General features: G+C 47.4%; 1 protein-coding gene across 3 annotated transcripts in view; it reads left to right on the forward strand.

Annotated features, from left to right (window-relative positions):
• The window catches only part of ATP1A4 (ATPase Na+/K+ transporting subunit alpha 4), a 35,378-nt gene extending 27,722 nt beyond the window's left edge, over positions 1–7,656 (forward strand). For all 3 annotated transcript variants that reach the window (NM_144699.4, XM_011509582.2, NM_001001734.2), the window contains 4 exons: positions 2,360–2,490; positions 2,606–2,707; positions 6,952–7,043; positions 7,347–7,656. In NM_144699.4, coding sequence (NP_653300.2) covers positions 2,360–2,490; positions 2,606–2,707; positions 6,952–7,043; positions 7,347–7,375 — 354 coding nt within the window. In that variant the 3' untranslated portion in view covers positions 7,376–7,656. The remainder of the gene's footprint in view (positions 1–2,359; positions 2,491–2,605; positions 2,708–6,951; positions 7,044–7,346) is intronic.

A 10,989-nucleotide genomic window follows, 5' to 3' on the forward strand; every position in this document is an offset into this window, starting at 1 on the left:
GTTTTCCATCTTGATACTTCCTCCCTGCTGCCAAGATGCAGCATAACATAAATTTACTGACAATAAATTAAAGGTAATTAAAAGTAATTTGAGGTAAAAAGTTAAGAATTCCCCCCTGCACATTGAAGACATCTTGAAGTGTCACAAAAATGTGTTGAGAACAGTTGCCCTGAGCAACAAACTCTACAAAGGCGTGTCCGTGTCTCTTCTATGACTGTAATTTTCAGATAATCTGGTATAGAGCCACCCACCCGGGAAGTGCATGATGCACTGCTAGAAGCAAGGATCGCTCCTTACTTTCTAAATATCTTTCATTAATTCCAGTGATTCCCTCACTCATTTGTTCATTCAGACAATATTTACTGAGCATCTTCTATGTACCAGGTACTGTTCTAGGGCCTGGGGATATGATAGTGAACAAAAATCATCAAGTTATTGCTCTCATGGAGCTTATTTCTAGTTAGGGATGGGAAGACAGATAATAACCAAATATATAATATATTTAATCAAGATATTGTAAGTCCAAGGGGGTCCAAGAAGTGTTGGAACTAGAATACTAGAGTGAGATGGAATTATAAAAATGCTAGTCAGAGAGAGAAAGATGCTTGAAATTACAGAGAAATAATAGGTATTGGAAAGGATAATATCTAGAGTTTAAGGATGGGAGCAAGCAGCCCAGGTGGGGAGTACAGGACAACATCATTGGAGGAGATCAAGGAACTGTGAGACCACGGCATTGGAAGGATCATCAACATGGACAATTCAATCTCCAAAAACAAGGACAGAAGTAATCGTGGAGTAACAGTGTCAGAAGCTAAAATCTTCAAGAAATGATAGGGAGTGACGCGGGTAACGGCAACTGACTGATTGGTCTTATTCTAAGTTCCATGCTCGGCTCATCAATTTCCAGCCTTTGTGTTCTACCGTTTAAGGCTCTACATTCCTCTCCAAGTACCACTTTGCCACATCCCGTGGGGTTTGATATGTAGTATTTCATTATTGTGCGGTCCTACCTGTTTTCAAATTTATTGGATCTACGAGTTGTTGATAAACATGCTGCTTTAGTTTTTAAAACAGAAGCTTTTTCTCTCCAGTCTAATTTAGATGCACCCCTTCTGTGTTCCCATAGCCCTCTGCAGTCTCTCTCTCATAACCTGTCTATTGCGCTGACATGGTTAGCATAATTATTTTCCCCACTAGACTCTAAGTTCCTTAAGTGTAAAGTGTGAATGAAAGAACAAATGAATGAATGAATGTCTCCTATCTGATACCACTCTTTGGGGTATTTCTTTCCCCCCTGTACTCACATTGTCCTCTGGCCCCACCATCCTTTCTTTCTGACCTATATCCCCTGACTCTGCCTTCTTCCCTTTTTTTTTTTTTTTTTTTTTTTTTTTTTTTTTTTTTTGAGACGGAGTCTCGCTCTGTCGCCCAGGCTGGAGTGCAGTGGCATGATCTCGGCTCACTACAAGCTCCGCCTCCCGGGTTCACACCATTCTCTCGCCTCAGCCTCCCGAGCAGCTGGGACTACAGGCACCCGCCACCACGCCCGGCTAATTTTTTGTATTTTTAGTAGAGACGGGGTTTCATTGTGTTAGCCAGGATGGTCTTGATCTCCTGACCTCGTGATCTGCCCACCTCGGCCTCCCAAAGTGCTGGGATTACAGGCATGAGCCACCACACGCCCAGCCTGCCTTCCTTTCTAACTCCACCTTCTTCTCTTACCCTATCCTTCTTATTAATTCAATCCATATTTATTGAGCCATGCTACATGCCATCCACCGAACTAAGCACAGGGAGAGGACATAAAGCTAAATAAGGCAAGTGCTTGTTCTTGAGAAGCTCTCAGTCAGGCAAGGAAAACATAAACAAATCATGATACAACATGAAAAGCGCTAAAACAGAGACATCTGTGAAGTGCTGTGGGGTCTAAAGAGTGAGGACCTGGCCGGGCACAGTGAGTCACGCCTGTATTCCCAGCACTTTGGGAAGCAGAGGCGGTCAGATCGCCTGAGGTCAGGAGTTCGAGACCAGTCTGGCCAATATGGTGAAACCCCGTCTCTACTAAAAATACACAAAAATTAGCTGGGTGTGGTGGCAGGCGCCTGTAGTCCCAGCTACTCGGGAGGCTGAGGCAGGAGAATTGCTTGAACCCCAGAGGCGGAGGTTGCAGTAAGCAGAGACCACACCATTGCACTCCAGCCTAGGCAACAAGAGCGAGACTTAGTCTCAAAAAAAAAAAAAAAAAGAATGAGGACCTGACTCAGCCCAGGGGTCCTGGAAGGTGGGAGAGGAAAGAAGCCTTAGGGTGTACAGAATCCCCTTCTGACACTGTTTCCTCTCTCCCTGCTGTCTCTAGACCTATGAGCAACGAAAAGTTGTGGAGTTCACATGCCAAACGGCCTTTTTTGTCACCATCGTGGTTGTGCAGTGGGCGGATCTCATCATCTCCAAGACTCGCCGCAACTCACTTTTCCAGCAGGGCATGAGGTGAACATCTCACAAAACAGCCCAGCACTCTCCCAAGCCCCACACACCAGGACATGCCATTTCCCCCTGCCTTTTCTTCTCCCTCCCCGCCACACCCATGAATGTTTCTTCCCAGAAACAAAGTCTTAATATTTGGGATCCTGGAGGAGACACTCTTGGCTGCATTTCTGTCCTACACTCCAGGCATGGACGTGGCCCTGCGAATGTACCCACTCAAGTGAGTAAGGGAAGGGATGCAAGCAGGGGATGTGCAGGCACGGGGGAGCATACAGAGGAAGGGTGTGTTTCACTAGGATTGTCATGAGCCAGGAGCTGCCTGGATACATGGAGCTACATGTACACTCAGTGATACAAGGAGAGTCATCTGTGCTCTGATAAGTGGATCTTATTTAGGGAGATATTAGAGACTGTGCCAAATGATCACAACCCACTAGACACACAAATTTAGCAGACTTACCAGTGTTTAACAGAGTGAAATCTTTTTCGTGATGATGTGTGCTGTAGTTGTCCAAGGATACATATTGCTTGGAGCTGAAGTAACCATAAAAATAGCCTAATCTATGCTTAGCTAATTCTGTTGTACTTATGCAAATATGTTTTAATGTATATGTATGTGATCGTGCCTACTGAAATTCTTATTGTCTGGTGCCTTGTCTTGTTCAACTCCAGGTTTTTGCTTTGTTTTGCTTTGCATTAACATTAGTATATGCTTGATGTGGAAAAATTTATATTTAAAAATGTACAGAGAAAAAAGCAAATGTTCCATTCCACTCCCATCCCCATTACCCAACCCAACTTGCATAGGTAGCCTCAGTTAAGGATTTAGTATGTATTCTTCCAACACATTTCTTTATTTTATTTTATTTTTTATTTTGAGATGGAGTTTTGCTCTTACTGCCCAGGCTGGAGTGAAATGGCGCATTCTCGGCTTACTGCAACCTCTGCCTCCCAGGTTCAAGTGATTCTCCTGCTTCAGCCTTCCAAGCAGCTGGGATTACAGGCACCCGCCACCATGCCGGGCTAATTTTTTGTATTTTTAGTAGAGACGTGGTTTCACCATGTTGGCCAGGATGGTCTCGAACTCCTGACCTCAGGTGATCCACCTGCCTGTGCCTCCCAAAGTGCTGGGATTACAGGCATGAGCCACCACATCCGGCCTTCTTCCAACACATTTCTATGCATGTCTCTACTCTGCTCACCTTTCCATCCCTTGTAATGTTTTACACGATGTTTTATACAATGTAGGCACTCAATTAATGTTTAATAGGAGACATTGGCACTGGCCTTAGACACTCACAATCCAAGGTGGAAATCTCAACTCTACTATGTATTATTCTGTGGCCTTGGACAAGTATGGAACCATTCTGAGCCTCAGCTACACCTGCAAAGTCTCAATAATACACTCCAGGGATAGACCTTGCAGAGTGTTGTGAGATTTACACGTAGAAATGGGCATAAAGCACCAAGCATGCTTAGGTCATGGTAGATGCCTTGTTACTAGTAGCTTTATTCTTGCTGTTATTAATGCCATTATAGACATAATAACAAATGTGGTTGGTATTATCTGTGCTTTCAAACACTCTGTGTACACATTAACCATAAAACTTAGCACCTAATCTTGCGATTCTGTATTCTGTGTGTGTGTGTGTTCACCCTCTTTTCTCTGATTCCCCTGAGCTCCTTGAGAGCTACTTGAGACCAACATGTTATCATTTTTATTTCCCCAATACCTAACACAGACACAGAGTACATAAAACAATTGTTTGTTGAATGAAGGGGTGGGGTGGCTGTTTGTGTAGAAATGTTTATATTTGTGTGTGTGTGGAATGAGCCATGGCCTAGGCTTGTACTGTCCAATACAGTGGCCACTATCCATATACAACTATTGTGCTTTTGACATATGAGACTAGGGAGACTGGGGAAGTAAATTTGTAATTTTATTTAATTTTAATCAAAGTCAAAAACTAAAGTAATGTTTTTCTATATTATAACTTCATTATTTTGGTTGGACTACGTTCCCCTTCAACTGTTGAAAATAATTTTGTATCTGAGTTCAAACATTCTGTCAGTGAAAAATATTCACTGAATTTCCAAGACTTAGGTTGAGAAGAAGAATGTAAAATATCTTATTGATAATGCTTTTTTTTTTTTTTTTTGAGATGGAGTGTCACTCTGTTGCCCAGGCTGGAGTGCAGTAGCGCAATCTCGGCTCACTGCAAACTCCGCCCCGCTGGTTCAAGCAATTCTCCTGCCTCAGTCTCCTGAGTAGCTGGGATTACAGGCACGCGTCACCACACCCAGCTAATTTTTGTATTTTTAGTAGAGACGGGGTTTCTTCATGTTGGTCAGGCTGGTCTCGAACTCCTGACCTTGTGATCCGCCTGCCTCTGCCTCCCAAAGTGCTGGGATTACATGCGTGAGCCACCGCACCTGGCCTTGATAATGCTAATATTGAGGCGGGGGTGTAGTGGCTCCAATCACAGCACTTTGGGAGGCCAAGGTGGGGGGATCGCTTAAGGCCAGGAGTTCAAGACCAGCCTGTACAACAAAGTGAGACATCGTCTCAATAAAAAAATTTAAAACTTAGCCAGGTGTAGCGGTGCACACTGACGGTCCCAGCTACTCAGGAGGCTGAGGCAGTAGGATTGCTTGAGCCCAGGAGTTCAAGACTGCAGTGAGTTATGATTGTACCACTGCACTCCAGCCTGGACGACAGAGCAAGTCCCTGTCTCTAAAAAAAACATTAAATGTAATTAAAATAAATAATGTTTATATTGATTACATATTTAACTGATATATTGATATCAGTTTTTGATATATTGGGTTAAATAAAAATATTATTAAAATTAATTTCATCTGTTTCATTTTACTTATGTTAATGTGGCTACTAGAAAGTATTAAATTTTACATGTGGCTCACATTATATTTCTATTGGACAGTGCTGGTCTAGGCCATTTCTTCTGTCATCCAAGGGAACAACTGCTGTCCTGATTCAACCCCTCCCCAGAATCCATCTTCCTGGTCTAATTATAAAAAGAGGTTGAGAAACAAAACAATATCCCCATCTTTGTAATACAGAAGCATCAATATATTCGCCGACAAAGTATCCCCACACTAAATGTCTCAGATAGACCCCTCCTGCTCAGACAACCCCTCCCCTTTGTGGGCACAAGCCCTAGAGTATGCAGAGAGCACAGGGGTCTCCCTCAGCGGCTCCACAAAAGTTGGTAGAGAATCTTGTGAACATTGCATATACTTCTAATATGACATTTATCATATTATATCATCATTGGCTTTTTTTTTTTTTTTCCCGACGAAGTCTTGGTCTCGCTCTGTCGCCCAGGCTGGAGTGCAGTGGTGCGATCTCAGCTCACTGCAACCTCCGCCTCCCGGGTTCAAGTAATTCTCCTGCCTCAGCCTCCTGAGTAGCTGGGATTACAGGCGCATGCCACCATGCCCCGCTAATTTTTGTATTTTTAGTAGAGACGGCGTTTCACCATGTTGGTCAGGCTGGTCTCAAACTCCTGACCTCGTGATCCATCTGCCTCGGCCTCCCAAAGTGCTGGGATTACAAGTGTGAGCCATCATGCCTGGCTATCACTGGCTCTTTATGTTTCTGTCTCGTGCCTCTCCTCTCCACTCCCGATCACTAATCCCACAGGATTTGACCTCCTCAAAGGTAGGGCTCAGGCCGGGCACGATGGCTCATGCCTATAATCCTAGCACTTTGGGAGGCTGAGGCGGGTGGACTGCCTGAGCTCAAGAGTTCAAGACCGGTCTGGGCAACATGGCGAAACCCCATCTCTCCTAAAAATACAAAATTTGGCCAGGCATGGTGGCTCACACTTATAATCCCAGCACTCTGGGAGGTGGAGGCAGGCGGATCACAAGGTCTGGAGTTCGAGACCATCCTGACCAACACAGTGAAACCCCGCCTCTACTAAAAATACAAAAATTAGCCGGGCATGGTGGAAGGCGCCTGTAGTCCCAGCTACTCAGGAGGCTGAGGCAGGAGAATCACTTGAACCTGGGAGGCAGAGTTTGCAGTGAGCCGAGATCAAGCCACTGCACTCCAGCCTGGGTGACAGAGTGAGACTCCGTCTCAAAAAAAAAAAAAAAAATTGCAAAAAATTAGCTGGGCGTGGTGGTGCACACCTGTAATCTCAGCTACTCAGGAGGCTAAGGCATGAGAATCGCTTAAATCCGGGAGGCAGAGGTTGCAGTGAGCCGAGATTGCACTCCAGCCTGGGCAACAGAACAAGACTCTGTCGCAAAAAAAAAAAAAAAAAAAAAAGGGATCAACCAGATCTTATTCAACTGCACTGTCTCCAGCACCCAGCACAGTCCCACGCACACAGTAGACACAAGCAATGAAACGTGCAATTCCTGTGCATTGCCCTCTGCACCTGTCCTCTGGCATCTCTCTCTCCTGCCATGCTGACTGGCTCTTGCTCTCTACAGGATAACCTGGTGGCTCTGTGCCATTCCCTACAGTATTCTCATCTTCGTCTATGATGAAATCAGAAAACTCCTCATCCGTCAGCACCCGGATGGTGAGGCTCCCCTGGGCCCCGCTCTGACTGAGTGGTCACCAGCCCCCTCACTAGCTCTCCCATCCCACCTAGTCCCTCCAGACCCACCACTGACTTTCTCCCCTCCTCGCTGCCAGCCTTGACTGCGCCTGGAGCCGAGACCTCTCTACCCCTTGGCTGCACCCCTCTGCTCCATCTGACCCTCAGTGCCCTGTGTTCCAGACCTCCCACCTCCAACCTTGTCCCTGCTTTCCCTTCTGCCTGTCTCCCCTGGATGCCTCTAATTCCTTCTCCCAGTTCACGCTGGCCTCTTCTCTTCCACAGGCTGGGTGGAAAGGGAGACGTACTACTAAACTCAGCAGATGAAGAGCTTCATGTGACACAGGGGTGTTGTGAGAGCTGGGATGGGGCCAGAGATTATAAGTTTGACACAACATCTGAGACACTAGGATGAATTATCTTGGATGAGAAAGATGGGCAATCCTGGGCTGGCTTGAGGGAATCATGGGCAGAGGATGAGGTGGGCTGAAGGGAAGCCCAGCCTGCATCTAGCTGGAGCCCCGCAGGGAGGGGCATGGTCCTGCTGAATCCCGTAGCCAGTCTAGACAGTAAATGTCTGGAAAAGCCCTCACCAGCTGGATGTGTCAAATCTGATCTTGGGGGAGTGGGGATTACTGTGAAGCTCCCTCCACAGGTCTTCATGATGACCAGGCTGGGGAAGTGTTTTAAGGACCAGAGTCAAGGCTGGGATAGGATCAGTATCAAGCATCCTTGCCCTTTAAAGTCACTCTCCGAGCCACTGGACAGCAAGGACAGGGCAAATGACTGCCTCAAAATTCCAGCTGAGATCAGAGAAATGGAAGGTGGGGGAGAGAGGAGCAGCTAAGTCACACGTGGGAAGAGGGTCCACAGCATCCGCACAGGGGGTAGGTGGGGTGGAGTCATCTGACCCCACCTTGCAGTTCCTGAGACCAGCTTGCAGACCACAGCGCTGTGGTGCTAGAAGAGATCAGATTGCATCAGTGAAAAGCCTGAAGTCCAGAGAGGTTAAATGACTTGGGAATGGCCATGTGCTGAGTGTTGTCCCTCATCTGAGAAAGGGACAGGTAGGAAGGACAGTCTCCAGGCATACTGGTGGTCCCTGCCCTCTACCCTCGGTCATCAGGGCTCCTCAACCCCATTCTGGCCCTCGGCCTGTTTTCTCTGGTGTAGCCTTGAGATAGAGGCTGTAACAAGACTTTCTGAATCCCTGTGGCCTTTACTGTGAAGCAGCCGCCCCTGCTCTGCACGGGGTGATGGACTTTCCCAAGAGCCTGGCCTCTGTGCCTGGGCCCAGGTGCATTCTCAGATGAGTGAAAACTCGTGGAGGGCCTTTCTCTCCTGCCCACCTTCGTCTCAGCATTTCTTCCTTCCCCTTCACCCGCTCATTCACTTTTGCTCTGTGAGCCCCTCCACTGTGCCATGTGGGTCAGTTCATTCTCAGGCCTCTTTCAGAGTAGAGCATTGGCTGTTCCCAAATGTGTACAGGGTGGAAGAGAAATGCTAACGAAAGCTAGGGGAACACCATCAGCTATTTCCACAACAAAACACATATGTACTAGGTGTCTGCACACTACACCTAACACTGGGACGAGGGTTTTATATACACACCATCAAGAAAGTCACATAAATGTTTCCCTACCACCCACTCCATGTTACCCAAGAAGAAACCAAGGTCTGTCCATTTTCAGAACGTGGGCCCTTAATCACTTTCAGACTAGTCTTTCAGTGAGGGCTGGGCCAAAAATACACAAAAACAAAACAAAGCAAACAAAAAAAATAGGCTAGTGATGGGGAAGGACCCGGGGTGGGTCTGGAGGATGAGAGGCCATGAGCTAGCAAAGAGAAGGCCATCGTGAGTATCGCCCGCCATTTTCCCTACATCAGGCCCCTCCTCAGAGGTCTCTCTCCCTCTTCTCCTCCCTCTTCCATCACAAGGTCTCCTAGGAACAGTGCTATATCAGCCTGGGGTCCTTCCCCAATTGCTGACATCGCTGAACCAGACCCTGGAAGATCAGTGGGCCAGGGTATATGTGAGTGAGGTGGGAAGCAGGAGCACAGAGGGGCCAGCTCCTCAGGTTTCAGTAGCAGGAGCTTCAGGTGTCTGGTGGGTTAAAAATACAGAGGCCCCAACTCACGGTCATTTGATACCAGTGGCTGAGGCTTCTCAAGTCCAAGGGCCTGAAGGGAAGGAGACTGAGTAGAAAGTAGACAGAGTGAAGCATCAAGAGAGAGCAGTGGGGGCGGGCGCTGGAAAGGGGAAGGGTGGGACTGGAGCCAGAGAGGGCAACGAGAGGGAACGGGATGGATGGCAATGTCCGGTAGCTGTAGGAAAGGACCAGGAGATGGAACAGACTCGCCACCAGAGTCCCATCTCATACTCTTGGGGGTACAAAAGGTCAGATTCAAGATGGAACAAGTTTTATGCTCCAGCGTCTCTGTCCCAGTGTCTCCCGCCTCCCCTGGAATGCAGAAGTGAGAAATCAGGGCTGGACATCACCTAGATCATCTGCTTCTGGGCAGGCCTCCCCATCTCACCTGGCTGCCTTTGCTCTGGCCTTGGGGCTTTCCCACGTTAGCCACTCTTCAGGGAGACCAGGATATGGGCTTCTGAGGTCTCTTCAGCTCCAACGTGCTGTGCTTAGGCTAGCTCCAACCTCTCCTGCTACAGTGACAGCTGTCCCTCTTGGCCTCACTCCTGCCATGCTTTTGAGATTTTCTGTGGCCTTCCGTGTTCAGCTGTGTAAGGTCCACCACACAGACATGTGGAAAAGTTATTCTGCTAACATAATTACATGACCCTCCCTGGATGCAAAACAAAACAAAAAAAACACCACTGTCCCTCTAGAATCAGAGATACCTCAGGGTGCAGTGGCAGCATGTGACTTTGATCTGACCCTCTATGGTCTCCCTCATGCCTCAGTTTACCTGTGCATAGTAAGAACCCTGGAGGGCCATGAAGAGGATCCTTCCTTCCTACGTATCCAGAGTTAAACTCACTACTCTGTCCTCACCCCCCAAGCTGGATCCAGAAGTTTAAGCCCCTACCCGCCCATCTCTGCTTTGGATCTCGGGTGCACAGAATTAATCATCAGTCTTGGTTCAGGGCACAGGGTTCACCTCTTCATGCTTGCCTAATGTTAATTTTTTTTTGCCCTGGTGTCAATACCTGATCCTCTTTGTCTTGTCAAAGACATGGGAATAAATAGTAGCTATTCACTCTCCTTGGAAGCATGCAGCCTGGGAAAACCTCCCTTCCCACTGTGCCCCAGAAAACCGAGTCCCATAGGATCAGGGTAGGGAGTGCACACACAGGTGGCAACCAAAGGACAGACCCCTTCTCATTGTGGGCTTTATAGGCAGAGAAACCCCAAACCCACATCTCTACAGGACAGGATCTGGGCCAGCCCTGTCCTTCCCTGCATTCCCAAGTTAGGAGTGCTGAGTGAAGCAAAGGAAACTGGCTGGAGCTGAGCCAGGTTGCCAGTCTTGGACGCGGCTCCATCTTTTATTCAGAGAATGACCTCATCCTTGGTCCTGGTTCTTTAAAAGAAAGTGGAGGGGGTCTCTTTCCTGCAGCCTGGCTTGCACTTTTATCGCCCCACTCTCCTACATAGTATCAAAGAATCAGAATCAGACTTCACCTACAGAAGATTCCCAGGCTTTAGGACATAGAGCCAATACCACATTTGTCCCCCTTTTGTCCTATATTATCAATTTAGCCTCTGACCCAGTTAGCTCCTCCTCTCCACTGCATTTAACTTCTAATTACCCTTGCCCCACCCTCGGCCCACCCTAATTACCCTTATACCTCCCCTCCCCCAGCCCCAGCTTCATTTACCTCCGACTCATCTGGTCTTATTTTTAGCTCCGGCATCTCTCCTTTTCCTTTCTTAATATGGCGATGAGCTCTTAGGCCAGTGTGGGG

The sequence above is a fragment of the Homo sapiens genome, chromosome 1 (genome assembly GCF_000001405.40).
Source record: "Homo sapiens chromosome 1, GRCh38.p14 Primary Assembly".
Taxonomy (NCBI): Eukaryota; Metazoa; Chordata; class Mammalia; order Primates; family Hominidae; genus Homo; species Homo sapiens.